This window comes from Homo sapiens, chromosome 6 (assembly GCF_000001405.40).
Source record: "Homo sapiens chromosome 6, GRCh38.p14 Primary Assembly".
Lineage (NCBI taxonomy): Eukaryota > Metazoa > Chordata > Mammalia > Primates > Hominidae > Homo > Homo sapiens.
In genome coordinates, this window is record NC_000006.12 from 89,893,796 (window position 1) to 89,913,983 (window position 20,188).

Here is a 20,188-nt window from a genome sequence, read left to right on the forward strand (position 1 = left end):
ATTTTGGTGATAGGGTCAAGGAACAGAATTTTAAAGTGAAAAGACAATTCCATTGACTATTATATATTGACGCCTTGTGTGTGCGATGACCAACATGCTTTAGAAAGAGTCTCTATCTGCAAGGGGTGTACCTTTCCAGGAAGGGGAACACAACCATCACAAAACTCATTTAGGCACAGTCCCAGGTGATTAATATTAATAATAGTGTTGTGAGGATTCAGGAAAGGGAAAAATAACTACAACTTGGGATGGGTAGGGAACACTTCCTGAGGAATTGAGACTCCTTTACGATCATGTCAGATGTATGGTAAGTAGCGTATCTCATGTGGATAGAAAAATGAATACAATTGTGCAATTAGAATGAATTGTACAAATATGGAGACCTATTTGTATACTAGAATAACAGGCAGCTTTGTGGGGGAGAGTAAAAGAGAATAGGAAGAAGTAAACTGCTGAAATTGTGAGGGGTATTTAGTGTTTTTTCAAAAATTAATATATTTGGAAATGTCCTATTTTAAGCATGGGCTATAAATATTAGGGCTGGAAGATCCTTCATAATTTTGCTGACATACAAAAGAACCTGCTGTATTTTTGAGCTTGTGTCTATATATTACCACCATGGGTGCTATTAACCTCAGTGTTTTCTGTATATTTCAGACATTAGTCTTTAACCATGGGGGACTGGAACTTATTGGGTGGCATCCTAGAGGAAGTTCACTCCCACTCAACCATAGTGGGGAAAATCTGGCTGACCATCCTCTTCATCTTCCGAATGCTGGTACTTCGTGTGGCTGCTGAGGATGTCTGGGATGATGAACAGTCAGCATTTGCCTGCAACACCCGGCAGCCAGGTTGCAACAATATCTGTTATGATGATGCATTCCCTATCTCTTTGATCAGGTTCTGGGTTTTACAGATCATCTTTGTGTCTTCTCCTTCTTTGGTCTATATGGGCCATGCACTTTATAGGCTCAGGGCCTTTGAGAAAGACAGGCAGAGGAAAAAGTCACACCTTAGAGCCCAGATGGAGAATCCAGATCTTGACTTGGAGGAGCAGCAAAGAATAGATAGGGAACTGAGGAGGTTAGAGGAGCAGAAGAGGATCCATAAAGTCCCTCTGAAAGGATGTCTGCTGCGTACTTATGTCTTACACATCTTGACCAGATCTGTGCTGGAAGTAGGATTCATGATAGGCCAATATATTCTCTATGGGTTTCAAATGCACCCCCTTTACAAATGCACTCAACCTCCTTGCCCCAATGCGGTGGATTGCTTTGTATCCAGGCCCACTGAGAAGACAATTTTCATGCTTTTTATGCACAGCATTGCAGCCATTTCCTTGTTACTCAATATACTGGAAATATTTCATCTAGGCATCAGAAAAATTATGAGGACACTTTATAAGAAATCCAGCAGTGAGGGCATTGAGGATGAAACAGGCCCTCCATTCCATTTGAAGAAATATTCTGTGGCCCAGCAGTGTATGATTTGCTCTTCATTGCCTGAAAGAATCTCTCCACTTCAAGCTAACAATCAACAGCAAGTCATTCGAGTTAATGTGCCAAAGTCTAAAACCATGTGGCAAATCCCACAGCCAAGGCAACTTGAAGTAGACCCTTCCAATGGGAAAAAGGACTGGTCTGAGAAGGATCAGCATAGCGGACAGCTCCATGTTCACAGCCCGTGTCCCTGGGCTGGCAGTGCTGGAAATCAGCACCTGGGACAGCAATCAGACCATTCCTCATTTGGCCTGCAGAATACAATGTCTCAGTCCTGGCTAGGTACAACTACGGCTCCTAGAAACTGTCCATCCTTTGCAGTAGGAACCTGGGAGCAGTCCCAGGACCCAGAACCCTCAGGTGAGCCTCTCACAGATCTTCATAGTCACTGCAGAGACAGTGAAGGCAGCATGAGAGAGAGTGGGGTCTGGATAGACAGATCTCGCCCAGGCAGTCGCAAGGCCAGCTTTCTGTCCAGATTGTTGTCTGAAAAGCGACATCTGCACAGTGACTCAGGAAGCTCTGGTTCTCGGAATAGCTCCTGCTTGGATTTTCCTCACTGGGAAAACAGCCCCTCACCTCTGCCTTCAGTCACTGGGCACAGAACATCAATGGTAAGACAGGCAGCCCTACCGATCATGGAACTATCACAAGAGCTGTTCCATTCTGGATGCTTTCTTTTTCCTTTCTTTCTTCCTGGGGTGTGTATGTATGTTTGTGTTGACAGAGAGGCAGATGGAGGGGGAGATTATTTATGGAGAGATAAAATTATTCATTCGATACATTCAGTTAAATTCAATTCATAAAATAGACTTAGAAAAATCTTATTATATCAATCGCTCTTATAAGTGCTGGGCATGTAAATGGGTAAAATACAGTCTCTGACATCAAAGGACTCAGGATGTAGGAGTAAAATTTAGGCAGGTAAAATGTAAATATATCAAGTGTAAGGCGTCACGTTAGTGGGAATGAGTGAGCAAAGGAGGGAGTGATCATATGGATGGGTCAGGAAAAGTTCATAGTTGAAGTTACCTTGAGCTGAATCTTGAAAGATGTGGCAAGTTTTTCCAAAACCGGAAGGACTGGGGCACATGAAAGAAGCTGTCCTGGTAGAGGGAGCAGTGCAGGTAAAGCCTAAGAGTGAGACATAGCAGTGCTGTCTGAGGAGCTGTGTGTGGCTGGAGCACAGGGTGGTAGGAGGGTGCAGAGGGAGGGAAGGCTGGAGAAGTGGGCATGGAGGCCCTGTAGGGAAGCCATAGAGAACTGACGGAGGATGTGGAGCAGAGGAGGGACTGGATCAGAGTTGCAGTTTAGAAAGTCCTTCTGTCACAGTGTGGAAAACAGTCCAGAGGAGGGATCATTTGTAACTTGAGTTGCCCTCATCTCACTAAAAAAGGAGTGTGTACTTCATTCTTTTAATACTTTTGACATTTCAAAGTCATATACAAATATTTGGTGATATATTTTACAAAGACAAGAATCAATATTGTATGATTTTAATTTTGTTCTCTGAAAAATCACTGTGGGATTAAACATTTCTTACCCATTATAAACATGAAATGGATATTTACTGTGGATTCTTCTCAATTCTGGAACAAAGGACGACACTTGATTACTCACTGCTCCCAATAGTCAACTGTTTCCATTAAAAAGAAAATTCCCCCAAGGTTGGTGGGAGAGCTTCTGAGTTGAGCTCACCTGCTTGTTTCTTCCTTTGTTCCACTTTTTGTGTTGATAATTACTGAATCCCTCTACCCTAGTTTTACATCTCCTGTGGGTTTAGATACTGATGTTACTGTACTACAGACATACCATGAATTCAAATCAACCTACTTGGATTTTTACTAAAATACTTCTCTCAAACTGATATTCATTTCTTGTCAGTGACCAGCCATTTATTTAGGAGACTGTTTAGGATCAATGCATGGGTGCTTAGAAACCTATGCCAAACTAGAGCAGGGTTCTTAACCCTTGCCATACATTACAGTCATCTGGGAGGCTTAAAAGCCATCATGCCCGGGACCCATCCAATTCTAATTAAACCAGAATCTCTGTGGGTGGGATGCATGCATGAATATTTTTCAAACTCCCATGGTGAGTGCAATGTGCAGCCAGGGTTAAGAACCACTGTTTTAGAATAACTTGAGGCCAGGCATGGTGGCTCATGCCTGTAATCCCAGTACTTTGGGAGGTCGAGGCAGGTGAATCACTTGAGCTCAAGACTTCAAGACCAGCCGGGGCAACATGATGAAACCCTGTTTCTCAAAAAAAAAAAAAAAAAAATACAAAGATTAGCCAGGTGTGGTTATGCATGCCTGTAGTCCCAGCTACTTGGGAGGATCACTTGAGCCTGGAAGGTTGAGGCTGCAGTGAGCCATGATCATGCCACTGCACTCCAGCTTGGGCTACAGACTGAGACCCTGTCTCTAAAAAATAAAAATAAATAAATAAAATAGAATTATTTGGCCAGTGGCAGCTACTTCTTTTTTTAAAAATTTCCTTTCTTTCGGACAAGTGTGGTGGCTCACGCCTGTAATCTCAGCACTTTGGGAGGCCGAGGCGGGTGGATCACCTGAGGTCAGGAGTTGGAGACTGGCCTGACTAACGTGGAGAAACCCTGTCTCTACTAAAAATACAAAATTACCCAGGCGTGGTGGTGCATGCCTGTAATCCCAGCTACTGGGGAGACTGAGGCAGGAGAATCGCTTGAACCCAGGAGGCAGTGGTTGCGGTAAGCCGAGATCGCACCATTGCACTCCAGCCTGGGCAATGAGGAAATTCTTTTCTTTTCTTTCCTTTCCTTTCCTTTCCTTTCCTTTCCTTTCCTTTCCTTTCCTTTCCTTTCCTTTCCTTTCCTTTCCTTTCCTTTCCCTTCCCTTCCCTTCCCTTCCTTTCCTTTCCTTTCCTTTCCTTTTCTTTCTTTCTTTCTCTTTCCCTCCCTCCCTTCCCTCGTTCCTTCCTTCCTTCCTTCCTTTCCTTCTTTCCTTCCTTCCTGTTAAGTGCAGTAGTAAGAAGGGGGGAAAGAGTAGAACAAGGAGTTCAATCTGTAACTGACTGTGAACAATCAGTTGGGATAACTCACTGCATTCAGACCATCCACTGCTTCTTATCTGCATTTGCAAAGTCAGCAATACAATTTTCATCATTTTCTTTTTCTTGTACCTTACATGCAAGAGAAGCCTTTTACTGGCAGACTGTTGAGGGAGATATGGCAGTTTTTAGGTGAGATAGATTTTCTTTTTTCTTTTTTTTTTTTTTGAGACAGAGTCTTGCTCTGTCGCCCAGACTGGAGTGCAGTGGCGCGGTCTCGGCTCACTGCAAGCTCTGCCTCCTGGGTTCACGCCATTCTCCTGCCTAAGCCTCCGGAGTAGCTGGGACTACAGGCACCTGCCACCATGCTCCGCTATTTTTTTTGTATTTTTAGTAGAGACGGGGTTTCACCGTGTTAGCCAGTATGGTCTCCATCTGCTGACCTCGTGATCCGCCCGCCTCGGCCTCCCAAAGTGCTGGGATTACAGGCGTGAGCCACCGCACCCAGCCGAGATAGATTTTCTTAATCCTTCAGTTTATCTTTTGGGAGAGGCCAGCCAAGCTCAGAATCCTGGAGTGAAGATGATGAAACTGATGGGCTGTCTCTTTTCTTTTCTGTATGGACTATATTGTATTCATAAATATAAGTAGGAGTAAAAAATAATTTGCACTGAGAAAATGCATCACTAACCTTTTTTTTTTTTTTTTTTTTTTTGAGACACAGTCTCACTCTGTCCTCAGGCTGGAGTGCAGTGGCGTGATCTCAGCTCACTGCAACCTCTGCCTCCTGGGTTCAAGCAAGTCTGCCTCAGCCTTCCAAACAGCTGGGACTACAGGCATGCACCACCACGCCCAGCTAATTTTTGTATTTTTAGTAGAGACAGGGTTTCGCCATATTGGCCAGGATGCTCTCGATCTCTTGACCTTGTGATCCGCCTGCCTTGGCCTCCCAAAGTGCTGGGATTACAGGTGTGAGCCACCGCGCCTGGCCACTAACCTCTTATAAATACAAGACATGAACGTCTAATCAGGCCTGATTTACTCTTTGAATGTTACAGCATTTTGTTTTCTTCCAATTCAACGTTTTCCCCTTTATTTTTCATACCTTAGGAACAATATAAACAAAAACCTCCACAATACACAACATCCAATCCTGTTGTCAAATTAGAGACATAATGGGATTTGACACTCTTATTTCCTGACTTAGATACAAGGACAGGAGAGAAAAGGAAACAGTAGATAACAACAGAGGGAGCCAGGTGGGATGGCACCACTCAAGGCTGCTGAGAGCCATGGAGTCACTGTACAGAGGGTTATCAACTTTATTTTTTAGAGCAGTTCACAGTGAAGTTGAATGGAAAATACAGAGAGTGCTCATATACCCACTGTTCCCCTACATGTGCGAACCTCCCCAACTATTGACATCCTATTATCAGAGTGGTACGTTTGCTACAACTGATGAACCTACACTGACACATCATTATCACCCAAAGCCCATATTTACATTAGGATTCACCCTTGGTGTGGTATATTCTATGGGTCTGGACAAATGTATAATGACATGGATTTACCAGTATAGTATCATACAGAGGAGTTTCACTGTCTTAAAAACCCTCTGTGCTTCCCCTATTCATCCCTTCCTCCCTCAAGCCCTGGCAACCACCGATCTTTTACTGAATCTAACGCCTTGCCTTTTCCAGAATGTCATACAGTTGGATCATACAATATGTAGTTTTTTCACATTGGCCTCTTATGCTTAGTAATATGCATTTAGATTTCCTCCATGTCTTTCCATGGCTTGATAGCTCATTTCTTTTTATCACTGAATAATATTCTTTTATCTGGATGTACCGCAGTTTATTTACCCATTTACCTTCTGAAGGACATCTTGGTTGCTTCCAAGTTTTAGCAAGTATGAATATAGCTGCTATAAACATCCATGTGCAGGTTTTTATATGAATGTAATTTTCAATTAATGCGGGTAAATACCAAAAAGCGTAATTGCTGGATCATATGGTAAGAGTAAGCTTTGTTTCATAAAAAACTGCCAAACTGTCTTCCAAAGTTGCTGTACCATTTTTTTATTCCCACCAGCAATGAATGAGAGTTCCTGTTGTTTCATACTCTTGCTATTGTCATTGTTTTGGATTTTGGCCATTTAATAGGTGTGTAGTGGTATCTTGTTTCAAACTCCTGACCTCAAGTGAACCGCCCACCTTGGCCTCCCAAAGTGCTGGGATTACAGGCGTGAGCCACTGCGCCCAGCTAGTATATTGTTTTAATTTGCAATTCCCTAATGACCTATGTTGTTGAACATATTTCCTATGCTTACTTGCCATCTATATCTTCCTTGGTAAGTTATCTTATTGTTGAGTTTTAAGTATTCTTTGTGTGTGTGTGTATGTGTGTGTGTATATAATATATATATAAATATTATATATATATATATATATATATATAATTTTTTTTTGAGATGGAGTCTCGCTCTGTTGCCCCAGGCTGGAGTGCAATGGCACGATCTTGGCTCACTGCAACCTCCACCTCCCGGGTTCAAGCAATTCTCCTGCCTCAGCTTCCCGAGTAGCTGGGATTACAGGTGCCTGTCACCACGCCGGGCTAATTTTTGTATTTTTAGTAGAGTCAGGATTTCACTATGCTGGCCAGGCTGGTCTCGAAATCCCGACTTCAGGCGATCCACCCGCCTCAAAGTGTTGGGATCACCGGCGTGAGCCACCGAGCCTGACTGGTAATATGTTTTTAATTTCACATTTTACTTATTCATTGCTGGTATATAGGAAAGTCATAGACTTTTGCACATTAGCCTTATATCTTGAAATCCAGGATATAAATACTATAAATACTCCAGGAGTATTTTCTGTCAACTTTTTCTGATTTTTCTTTTCTTTCTTTTTTTCTTTGAGACGGAGTCTCGCTTTGTCACCCAGGCTAGAGTACAGTGGGGCGAGCTCAGCTCACCGCAACCTCTGCCTCCTAGATTCTAAGCGATTCTCCTGCCTCAGCCTCCCAAGTAGCTGGGATTACAGGCACGCGCCACGAGGCCCGGCTAATTTTTGTATTTTTAGTAGAGACAGGGTTTCACCATGTTGTCCAGGCTGGTCTCAAACTCCTGACTTCAGGTGATCCACCCGTCTCGGCCTCCCAAAGTGCTAGGATTACAGGCTTGAGTCACCGCGCCAGTGCAGTTTTTTCAGATTTTTCTGTGTAGACAACCATAATTTCCGGGAACAAAGACAGTCATTTCTTCCTTCCCAATCCATATACCCTTTCTTTACTTTTTTGTCTTATCTCATCTTGTCTTGTCTTAGTGCATTATCTAGGACTTCCAGGACAATTTCGAAAAGCAGTTGTAAGAGGGTATATCCTTCTCTTTGTTCCTGATTATAGAGAGAAAGATTCAAGTTTCTTACCAGTACATATAACGTCAGCTATAGATTTTTTTGTAGAGGTTCCTTATCAAGTTGAGTAAGTTCTCCTTTTAGTTTTCTAAGAGTTTTTAATCACAATGGGTGTTGGATTTTGTGAAATGCTTTTTCTGCATCTACTGATATGGGATGTGATTTTTCTTTGGTAGCCTGTTGATGTGACAGATTACATTAATTGATTTTGATTTTTTTTTTATTTTTGAGACAGAGTCTCACTTTGCCACCCTGGCTGGAGTGCAGAGGTGCAATCTTGGCTCACTGCAATCTCTGCCTCCCAGGCTCAAGTGATTCTCATGCCTCAGCCTCCCAGGTAGCTGGGATTACAGGCATGTGCCCCCATGCCCAGCTAATTTTTGTATTTTTAGTAGAGATGGGGTTTCACCACGCTGGCCAGACTGGTCTCGAATTCTTGGCCTCAAGTGATCCACCCGCCTCTGCCTCCCAAAGTGCTGGGATTACAGGCGTGAGCCACCACACCCAGCCTGATTTTTGAATGTTGAACCAGCATGGCATACCTGGGATAAATCCCACTTGGTCATGGTGTATAATTCTTTATTTTTATTATTTATTTATTTATTTATTTTTTGAAACAGAGTCTCGCCCTGTCACGCCCAGGCTGGAGTGCAGTGGCAGCCATCTCGGCTCACTGCAAGCTCCGCCTCCCGGGTTCACGCCGTTCTCCTGCCTCAGCCTCCCGAGTAGCTGGGACCACAGGTGCCTGCCACCATGCCCGGCTAATTTTTTTGTATTTTTATTAGAGACAGGGTTTCACCATGTTAGCCAGGATGGTCTTGATCTCCTGATCTCGTGATCTGCCCGCCTTGGCCTCCCAAAGTGCAGGATTACAGGCGTGAGCCACCGTGCCTGGCCCTTTATTTTTATTTTTTGGAGACAGGGTCTCACTCTGTTACCCAGGCTGGAGTGCAGTGGCATGATCTCAGGTCACTGCAGCCTCTGCCTCCTGGGCTCAAGTGGTCTTCCCACCTCCGTCTCCTGAGTAGCTGTGGCTACAGGCATACACCATCACACCCAACTAAGTTTTGCATTTTTTGGTAGAGACACGGTTTCATCATGTTCCCCAGGCTGGTCTTGAACTCCTTGGCTCAAGCGATCCACCTGCCTCAGCATCTCAAAGTGCTGGGATTACAGACGTGAGCCACTATACTTGGCCTATAATTCTTTTTATACATTGTTGGATTTGATTTGACAATTTTTTTGAGGATTTTTACATTTATGTTCATGAGAGATATTGGTCTGTAGTTTTCTTTTCTTGCATGTCTTTGGTTTTGGTATTAGGGTAATGCTGGTCTCATAGAATGAGTTAGGAAGTACTCTTTCTGCTTCTATCTTTTGGAAGAGATGGTAGAGAATTGATACAATTTTTTTCATAAGTGTCTGTTAGACTCACCATTGAACACATTTGGATCTAATGTTTTGGAAGGTTGATCATTATTGATTCAGTTTCTTTAATAGATATAAGCCTATTCATATGGTCTATATCTTCTTGTGTGAGTTTTGGCAGATTGTGTCTTTTCTAGGAATTGGTACATTCTAGGTTATCAAATCTGGGGGCATAGAGTTGTCCATAATATTCCTTTATTATTCTTTTAATGTTGGTGGGATCTGTACTGATGTTCTCTCTTTCATTTGTGATATTAGTAACTTGTTTCTTCTCTCTTTTTTTCTTAGTTAACCTGTATATCAGGCTGTTTTTGGATTGCTATAAAGAAATACCTGAGACTGAGTAATTTATAAAGAAAAGAGGTTTAATTGGCTCAGCGTTCTGCAGGCTTTATAGAAAGCATGGTTCTGGCATCTGCTCAGTTGCTAGGGAGGCCTCAGGAAACTTATAATCATGGTGGAAGGGAAGGGGGAGCAGGCATGTCACATGGTGAAAGCAGGAGCGAGGGAGTGAGAGGGGAGGTGCCACACACTTTTAAACAACCAGATCTCATGGGAACCCAGAGTGAGAGCTCACTTATTACTGAGGGGATGGCCCAAGCCATTCATGAGGGATCTGCCCCCATGATCTAAATACCTCCTACCAGGCCCTACCTCCAATACTGGGGATTACAATTTGGGGAGGGACAAATATGCAAATGATATTAGCCTGGCTAGAGACTTACACACTTTATTGATGTTTTCAAAGAGGTAGATTTTGGTTTTGTTGATGTTCCCTATTAATTTCCTATTTCAATTTCATTCATCTCTGCTCTAATTTTCATTATTGCTTTGTTTCTGCTTCCCTTGGATTTAATTATTTTTTTAGTTTCCTAAAAGTAGATAAATGATTTTAGATCTTTCTTCTTTTCTTTTTCTTTTTTTTTGAGACAGAGTTTCGCTTTGTTGCCCAGGCTGGAGTTCAATGGCACGATCTCGGCTCACTGCAGCCTCTGCCTCCTGGGTTCAAGTGATTCTCCTGTCTCAGCCTCCCTAATAGCTAGGATTACAGGTTCTCGCCACCACGCCTAGCTAATTTTTGTATTTTTAGTAGAGACGGCATTTCATCATGTTGGCCAGTCTGGTCTTGAACTCCTGACCTCAGGTGATCCTCCCGCCTCTGCCTCCCAAAGTACTGGGATTACAGGCATGAGCCACCATGCCCAGCCTAGATCTTTCTTCTTTTCTAATTATACATTCAATGCTATAAATTTCTCCCTAAGCACTGCTTTTGCTGTATCTCACACATTTTGATAAGTTGTGTTATCATTTTTGTTTAGTTGAAAATATGTTTTTTTCCAAGATTTCCTCCTTGACCTATGTGTTATTTATAAATGTATAGTTTAATCTCCAAGTATTTTAGAATTTTCCAGCTATCTTTCTTTTTTCTTTTTTTTTTTTTTTTAAGAGACACGGTCTCTCGCTTGTCACCTAGCTCACTGCAGCCTCAAACTTCTGGGCTCAAGTGATCCTCTCACCTCAGCCTCCTCAGTAGCTGGGACTATGGGTGTGCACCATCATGCTTGGCTTATTTTTAAATTTTTTTGTAGAGCTGGGATGTCACTTTGTAGCCTAGGCTGGTATTGAACTCCTGGCTTAAAGCAACCCTCCGGCCTTGGCCTCCCAAAGTGCTGGGATTACAGGTGTGAACCACTGCACCTGGCCCCAGCTATTATTAATTTCTAGTTTAACTCCATTGTGATCTGAAAACAGACATTGTATGATTTCTATTTTTAAAAATTTAAAAGAGAGAAGACCACAACCTAGAATGTGGTCTATCGTGGTAAGTGTTTCATGTGAGCTTGAGAAGAATGTGTATTCTGTTGTTACTAGATGAAGTAGCCAATAGATGTCAATTTTTTTCTTTTTTAATTTTTTTTTTCGAGATGGAGTCTCGCTCTGTCGCCCATGCTGGAGTGCAGTGGCGTGATCTCGGCTCACTGCAAGCTCTGCCTCTCGGGTTCACGCCATTCTCCTGCCTCAGCCTCACGAGTAGCTGGGACTACAGGCACACACTGCCACGCCCGGCTAATTTTTTTGTATTTTTAGTAGAGACGGGGTTTCACCGTGTTAGCCAGGATGGTCTCGGCTTCCTGACCTTGTGATCCGCCCTCCTCAGCCTCCCAAAGTGCTGGGATTACAGGCATGAGCCACCGAGCTCGGCCTTAATTTGTTAATAAATTATTTTACATTTTATAGAGATGTGGTCTCACTATGATGACCAAATTGGTCTTAAACTTTTGGCCTCAAGCAATCCTCCCATCAGCTTTAGATGTCAATTATATCCAGTTAATTGATGGTGCTGTTGAGTTCAACTATGTCCTTTTGGCTTTTCTGTCTGCTGGATCTGTCCATTTCTGATAGAATGAAGCTAGGGTCTCCAACTATAATAGTGGATTCATTTATTTCTCCTTGCAGTTCTAGCAGTTTTTGCCTCACATATTCTGATCTTCTGTTGTTAGGTACATACACATTAAGGATTGTTTTTTCTCAGAATATTCACCCCTTTATCATTTGCATTGTCCCTCTTTATCCCTGATAACTTTCCTGAAGTCTTCTCTGTCTGAAATTAATATAGCTACTCCTGCCTTCTTTTGATTAGTGTGAGCATCATATATCTTTCTTCATTTCTTTACTTTTACTTTATATATACCTTTATATTTAAAGTTGGTTTCTTTTTCTTTCTTTTTTTTTTTGAGACGGAGTCTCGCTCTGTCGCCCAGGCTGGAGTGCAGTGGCGCAACCTCAGCTCACTGCAAGCTCCGCCTCCCGGGCTCACGCCATTCTCCTGCCTCAGCCTCCCGAGTAGCTGGGACTATAGGCGCCCGCCACCGCACCTGGCTAATTTTTTGTATTTTTAGTAGAGACGGGGTTTCACCGGGGTCTCGATCTCCTGACCTCGTGATCCGCCCGTCTCGGCCTCCCAAAGTGCTGGGATTACAGGCGTGAGCCACCGTGCCCGGCCAAAGTTGGTTTTTTACAGATAACATATAATGCATCTTGTTTTTATTTTTATTTTTTTAGAGACAGTGTCTCACTCTGTTGCCTGGCTGGAGTGCAGTGGCATGATCATGGATCACAGCAGTTTTGACCTCCTGGGCTCAAGTGATCCTCCCACCTCAGCCTCTTGAGTAGCTAGGACTACAGGTGCACATTGCCACTCTCAGCTAATTTTTTTTTCTTTCTTTTTTTTTTTTTTGAGACAGAGTCTCACTCTTGTCGCCCAGGCTGGAGTGCAATGGCATGATCTTGACTCACTGCAACCTGTGCCTCCTGGTTCAAGCGATTCTCCTGCCTCAGCCTCCCAAGTAGCTGGGAGTACAGGTGCCACCACACCCGGCTAATTTTTGTATTTTTAGTAGAGATGGGGTTTCACCATGTTGGCCAGACTGGTCTCAAACTCCTGACCTCAGGTGATCCGCCCGCCTCTGCTCCCAAAGTGCTGGGATTACAGGCGTGAGCCACCGCTTCAAGCACAGCTAATTTTTAATTTTTTTTTTTTGTAGAGATGGGTTATCATTATGTTTCCCAGTCTAGTCTTGAACTCTTGGGTTCAAATGATCCTCCTTCCTTGGCCTTCCCAAAGTGCTGGGATTACATGTGTGAGCCATCATGCCCCATCTGTGTCTTGTTTTTTGATCCACTCTGACAATCTCTGTATTTTGTGTATTTAGATGACTGGCATGAAAAGTGATTATTGATATAATGGCATTAATATTTAGTATATTTATTACTATTTTCCATTTGTCGCCCTTGTTCTTTGCTCCTGTTTTTGTCATGCACACCTTTTCTGCCTTTTGTGGTTTTAATTGAGCACTCTATATGATTTCATTTTCTCTCCTTTCCTTTTTTTTTTGCAATGGAGTCTCGCTGTCTCACCCAGGCTGGAGTGCAGGTGCAGTGGTGTAATCTTGGCTCACTACAACCTCCACCTCCCAGTTCAAGTGATTCTCCTGCCTCAGCCTCCCGAGTAACTGGGGTTACAGGCATGCACCACCACGCCTGGCTAATTTTTGTATTTTTAGTAGAGATGGGGTTTCACCATGTTGGCCAGGCTGGTCTCGAACTCCTGACCTCAGGTGATCCACCTGCCTCAGCCTCTCAAAGTGCTGGGATTACAGGCATGAGCCACCATGCCTGGCATCATTTTCTCTCCTTTCTTTCTTTTTTTGTTTTCTTTGAGACAGAGTCTCTCTCTCTTTCCCCCAGGCTGGAGTGCAGTGGCACGATCTCGGCCCACTGCAACCTCCGCCTCCCGGGTTCATGCGATTCTCCTGACTCAGCCTCCTGAGTAGCTGGGATTACAGGCATGCACCACCAAACCCGGCTAATTTTTGTATTTTTAGTAGAGATGGGGTTTCACCATTTTGGTCAGGTTGGTCTTGAACTCCTGACCACGATCATGATCCACCCACCTCAGCCTCCCAAAGGGTTGGGATTACAGGCGTGAGCCACTGAGCCCGGCCTTTCTCTCCTTCCTTAACGTATTAATTATACTTCCTTTAAAACTTTTTTTGGTGGTTGTCCTAGAGTTTGCAATACGCATTTACAACTAATCCAAGTTCGCTTTCAGATAACACTATGCCACTTTATGGTAGTATAACTACCATTTAATAAAAAAATTCCTAATGCCTCCCTCCTGTCCTTATATTATTGCTGTCACTCATTTCATACATACATAAACATATAAACATACATATGTGTGTCAGTACATTATTCTTAAGAATATGAAAGATACAAGTTCTTATTTTACCTTCTCTTATTTCCTATCTAATGTTTTTCCTTTCTTTATGTAGATCTGAGTTTCTGACCTATATCATTTTTTTTCTCTCTGAAGGACTCTTTTTTAACATTTCTTACAAGGCAGGGCTACTGGCCACACATTCCTACAATTCTTATTTGGCCAAGAAAGTCTTTACTTCTCCTTCACTTTTTTTTTGTTTGTTTGTTTTCTGAGACAGAGTCTCGTTCTGTTGCCCAGGCTGGAATGCGGTGGTGTGATCTCGGCTCATTGCAACCTCCACCTCTTGGGTTCAAGCGATTCTCCTGCCTCAGCTTCCCAAGTAGTTGGGATCACAGGTGTGTGCCACCATACCTGGCTAATTTCTGTATTTTTAATAGAGATGGGGTTTCACCAAGTTGGCCAGGTTGGTTTTGAACTCTTGACTTCAAGCGATTCGCCTGCCTTGGCCTCGCAAAGTGCTGGGATTACAGGCCACTGCGCCTGGCCTTCTCCTTCACTTTGAAGGATAATTCTCAGGATAGAGACTTCTAGATTGGTGGTGTGGTGTTTTCCTCTCAATGCTTTAACTATTTCATTCTCCTGTCTTCTTGCTTGTATCGTTTATGAGAAGTTAAATATAGTTCTTATCTTTGCTCCTCTGTAGGGAAAGTGTTTTTTTTCTCTCTGTCTTCTTTCAAGACTTTTTTCCTCTTTGATTTTCTGAAGTTTGAATATGATAAGCCTAGAAGTAGTTTTTTTTTTGGCATATATCCCATTTGGTGTTTTCTGGACTTCCTGGATGTGTGGTTTGGTGTCTGACATCAGATTTGGGAGCTTATTAGTATTATAGCTTCAAATATTTCTTGTCTTCCTTTCTCTGTTTCTTCTCCTTCTGGTTTATATGTGTGTTATACCTGTTGTAATTGTCCCACAGTTCTTGGGTATTCTGTTCTATTTTGTTTTTGTTTGTTTTAGTCTTTTTTAATCTTTGTTTTTCAGTCCTGGAAGTTTCTATTTTTATATCCTCAAGCTCAGAGATTGTTTCCTCGGCCATGTCCAGTCTACTAATGAGCCCATCAAAGGCATTCTTTATTTCTGTTGCAGTGTTTTTGATCTCTAGCACTTTTCTGTGATTCTTTCTTAGGCTTTTCATCTCCTAACTTACATTATCTACCTGTTCTTATATCTTGTCTACTTTTTCCATTAGAGCCCTTAGCATATTAATCATACTTTTAAATTCCTGGTGTGATAATTCCAACATTTGTGCCCTATCTGACTCTGATTCTGATGCTCGTTGGGTCTCTTCAAACTGCGTTTTTTGCCCTTTAGTATGCTTTGTGCTTTTTTGTTGAAATGTGAATATTTTGTAGAGATGAAAAGAATGTGGGGCTGGGTGTGGTGGCTTACACCTGTAATGTCAGCACTTTGGGAGGCCAAGGCAGGTGGATCCCTTGAGCTCAGGAGCTCGAGAGCAGCTTGGGCAACATAGCAAAACCCTGTCTCTCTTTCCTTTTTTTTTTCCCTTGAGACAGGGTCTCACTCTGTCCCCCAGGCTGGAGTGCAGTGACATGGTCATGGCTTACTGCCACCTCGACCTCCCAGGCTCATGCAATTCTCCTACCTCAGCCTCCCAAGTAGTTGGGACTGTGCCACTGCACTCCAGCCTGGGGGACAGAGTGAGACCCTATCTCAAGAAAAAGAAAAGAGAGAAAAGACTCTGGTAAGTAGACCTTTAGTGGTGTGGTGGTCAGTATGGGGGGAGGGGAACATTCTATAGTCCTATGACTGGGTCTTAATCTTTTGCACCCTAGACTTTCTAATTTTGAAGGCAGTGGTTTGTCCAGTAACCTCTCTTCTCTAACAAATCTAAGAAGAATTGCTGATTTTTTAGTTTGTTCAGATTTCTACTTATTGCTAGGGCAGAGTGGTTACTTCTAAGCTCCTTATATTTACAGACTGGAGCCCTCTTTCTTATTTCATTTTTTTTCTTTCTTCTTTGTTCTTTATGTTTCTAGGAATTATAAATAATGCCTTTGACCACAGAGCTTTCCTAATTATGGTCACCTTTTCCCAAGCTTTTTACAGAGATGACAGCCCACTTCACTCCCCAAATGATGGAAACACTTGGGAATTGAGGCCGCAGCTCTCAACTCCACAGACCAGTGGCTGACACATGGTGCTTCTTGTAAACAGATGGATCTTTCATTAGAAATTAGTGTAAGGGGCTAGGTGCGGTGGCTCATGCCTGTAATCCCAGCACTTCGGGAGGCCAAGCTGGGGGATGGCTTGAGGTCAGGAATTCAAGCCCAGCCTTGGCAACACAATGAGATCCTGTCTCTTAAAAAAAAAAAAAAAAAAGGAAAAGAGAAAAAAAGAAATTAGTGTAGCAAACAAAGGATAATAATCCTCTACTTTCAAGTAAAGTAAAATCTCTCTTCCCTTTCAGTTTCCTATTTCAAGGGTGTGTCTGTGTGTATGTTCCGGCAATTTTCTTAACTTTTTTAACTTTGAGAATTCCATCCTAGTGTGTCTAAGCGGGGCCCTCTTTTCATTAACTTTGCTGGGAAGTCAGAACATGCTCTCAGTTTCCAGCTGAGTTCTTTCTTTACAGCAGGAAACTTTTCCCCTCCCATTTCTTTGAATACTGCTTTCCCTATGTCTGTTTTGTTCTCTCCAGAATTCCGATTATTCCCAGGTTATATCCCCCGTGTCTGACCGCCTGCCTCTTTCTTTTCGTCTTTTTATCATTTTGCCCTTGGTCATGTTAATTTTATTTTCTCCGTGTCTTGTCTGCTATTTACAGCCTCCATCATGGTTTCCCACCAGAGCTATTGTGGTTTCTGTCTCCTTGCTACACTTCCTGCTCTCAGATGTCTCCCTCTTTATTAGGATCTTTTCTAGTTTCTAGATCTTTTCCAGCACCCCATGGAATCTTATTGAGAAATTGAATTAAATATTCAGATTTAAAATAATAATAATAATAATAATCCTCTACTTTCAATAAATGAACTGTAAACTACCTGTTATGTTGCATTAGGTTCAAGATGGCAGAATTTCTATTACTCAGCCAGATACATTCTGATTACAGCAGTTGACATTTCAGAGTGAAATGACTCCTGATAGAACCAGTTGTTTGGCCACTTATGCTGTTTCTTACAGAGAATTGTCCTGTGAAAGGAATCCATTGTGTTTTAGAAGGTCAGAAAGCTATCTGATAGAGCCATGATTTTCTTTCCTTTTCTTTCCTCCCTCCCTCCCTCCTTCCCTCCCTTCCTTCCTCCCTCCCTCCTTTTTCTCTCTTTTTCTTTCGTTCTTTCATTCTTTCTCCTTCCTTCCTTCCTTCCTCCCTTCTTTTCCTCTTTCTTTCCTTCCTTCCTTTTTTCTTTCTTTTTTGTAAAGCTCCCAGGTGATTTTTTTTTTTTTTTTTTGAGACGGAGTCTTCACTCTGTCGCCCAGGCTGGAGTGCAGTGGCGCGATCTCAGCTCACTGCAAGCTCTGCCTCCCAGGTTCACGCCATTCTCCGGCCTCAGCCTCCGGAGTAGCTGGGACTACAGGCACCCGCCACCACGCCCGGCTAATTTTTTTTGTATTTTTTAGTAGAGACGGGGTGTCACCGTGTTAGCCAGGATGGGCTCGATCTCCTGAGCTCGTGATCTGCCCACCTCGGCCTCCCAAAGTGCTGGGATTACAGGCGTGAGCCATCACTCCTGGCCTCTCCCAGGTGATTCTAATTTGCAGCCAGAGTTCAGAACTGTGGCTGCAGAGGAAGGAGATTTTGGCATTAGGAAGAAAGTTGCCCTGTGAACTCTTCCAATCTTTTAGGATGTTAGGGAGATGAAGAATGTACTGAGAAGACTTGCTCCTAGAAACATAGAGAAACACTTTCCCCTTCCCAATACCATATAATCTGTAGGACCTAGCCTACAGTTTTAAAAAAGAAACTTGTTTCCTTAATATTTATTTTGTGCAAATAAGTGTTTAAATTGTAAAAATTCAGGCAACATAGAAATATATAGGCCAAAAAGAGAAATTTTCTGTTTTATTTGTCTTCTTACCACCCCCAAATCTGTTCTTTCTTTCTTTCTTAATTAATTTTTTGTTTTTGTTTTTTTTGAGACAGGGTCTTGCTCTGTCGCCCAGGCTCCAGGGCAGTGGCATGATCATGGCTCACTGTAGCTTTGAACTTCTGGGCTCAAGTAATCCACCCACCTCGACCTCCCAAAGTGCTGGTATTACAAGTGTGAGCCTGGCCCGTGAAGTGTTTTTTGAATGCTTACTAGGTACCAGGCACTGGATGCTGGGTGCTGGGATATAACAGCTCACAGGACAACACAGTCCCTTTTCTCACAGTAGAGAAAAATAAACAAATATTTAAAGCAACTTCACATAGTTTTAGGTGCTAGGAGAAAACAACACAGTGATGTGGACAAAGGGACACTGGGAAGTAGATGGTATTACTTTAGATGAGGTTATCAGAGGTGGGCTCTTGAAAAGGTGCTGAAGTCCTGGGTGGATGGGGCCTCTCAGGCAGAGGGACCGGTAAGTGCAAAGGTCCTCGGCTCTCTGGAACTACAGAAGGAGATCACTCTTGTGGCGGTGACCAGGAAGGGGAGGGATAGGGATGAGGTTGGAATGGGCAGGGTCCTGATGTGTAGGCCTTTGAGACCGTGAATAGAAATTTGAGTTGGATAGCACAGGGATAGTCATGGGCTGATACATATGTTATAAAAACCAATCACTCTTTTTGGAGAATCAATTGTAGGGGTAAGAGTAGAATAAGGGAGATCAGGTAGGAGACTGTGCAGTGGTTCAGTGAGCTATGAGGGTGGCTCAGACCAGGGGTACAACTCTTACTGATTTGGAAGAACGACAGTTTTTAAAAGAATTATTGTTTTTCAAATTAAAGTAATACATGCTAATTTAAATAAACTCAAACAATATAAAATAACATAGAGTAAAATGTGAACCTGACCATGGGAAAGTTCGTCTCCTCTTGTTCTCATCTGGACTCAACCTCTACTTTTTTCCCCCAAGGCAGCCTCTGTCCTCTGTGAACACCATAGGGTGTGTCACTGGTACTTTCCTCAGTGCCTTCATAATCAATCCTTGAAGACAAATATATGTCCACGCATATTTATTGTTTGTTATTTTATTTTATTTATTTATTTAGAGACAGAGTCTTGCTCTGTTACCCAGGCTGGAGTGCAGTGGCCCTATCTCGGCTCACTGCAACCTCTGCCTCCAGGTTTCAAGCAATTCTCCTGTCTCAGCCTCCCAGGTAGCTGGGATTACAGGCACCTGCCACCATGCCTGGCTAATTTTTGTATTTTTAGTAGAGATGAGCTTTCACCGTGTTGTCCAGGCTGGTATCGAACTCCTGGCCTCAAGTGATTTGGCCTCCCAAAGTGCTGGGATTACAGGCGTGAGCCACTGCGCCCAGCCTGTTTTTTATTTTTATTAAAAAATATTTTTAAGTGATATGTAATGTTTTACATATTCATGAGGCACATGTGATATTTTGTTGCATCATAGAATGTATAATGATCATTTCAGGGTATTGCGGTATCCATCACCTTGAATAGTTATCATTTCTATGTGTTGGAAACATTTCAAGTTCTCTCTTTTAGCTACTTGGAATTATATAATACATTGTATAGTCACCCTGCTCTGCTATCAGACATTAGAACTTTCTATCTAACTGTATGTGTATACCTGTTGACCAATCTGTCTTCACCCCCCTCCCACCCACATACCCTTTCCAGCCTCTGGTATCTATCATTCCACTCTCTACCTCAATGACATCAACGTTTATAGCTCTTACCTGAGTGAGAACGTGATATTTACCTTTCTGTGCCTGCCTTATTTCACTTAACATAATGACCTCCAGTTCCACCCATGTTTCTGCAAATAACATGATTTTATTCTTTTTTATGGTCAGATAGTATTCCATTGTGTACATATACCACATTTTCTTTATTCATTTGTCTGTTGATGGACACTTGGGTTGATTTCATATTGTGAATAGTGCTGCGATAAACATGGGAGTGCAGGTA

General features: G+C 42.7%; 1 protein-coding gene across 1 annotated transcript, besides 2 other annotated features; it reads left to right on the plus strand.

Annotated features, from left to right (window-relative positions):
- The first annotated feature begins 673 nt into the window (after nucleotides 1-673).
- Nucleotides 674-2,325, plus strand: GJA10 (gap junction protein alpha 10). Its single transcript, NM_032602.2, has one exon. It carries the CDS (start codon nucleotides 674-676, stop codon nucleotides 2,303-2,305), a length of 1,632 nt encoding a protein of 543 aa, NP_115991.1. The 3' UTR covers nucleotides 2,306-2,325.
- Nucleotides 7,701-7,901: a silencer, noted in NCBI's record as "peak5956 fragment used in MPRA reporter construct". NCBI's record gives its function as "represses an SCP1 promoter by STARR-seq MPRAs in K562 erythroleukemia cells {active_cell/tissue: K562}" and the evidence as "EXISTENCE:reporter gene assay evidence [ECO:0000049][PMID:32103011]".
- Nucleotides 16,926-17,570: an enhancer, noted in NCBI's record as "H3K27ac-H3K4me1 hESC enhancer chr6:90620440-90621084 (GRCh37/hg19 assembly coordinates)". NCBI's record gives its function as "activates a minimal SCP1, AML or CMV promoter by ChIP-STARR-seq in primed H9 embryonic stem cells {active_cell/tissue: H9 hESC(primed)}" and the evidence as "EXISTENCE:reporter gene assay evidence [ECO:0000049][PMID:30033119]".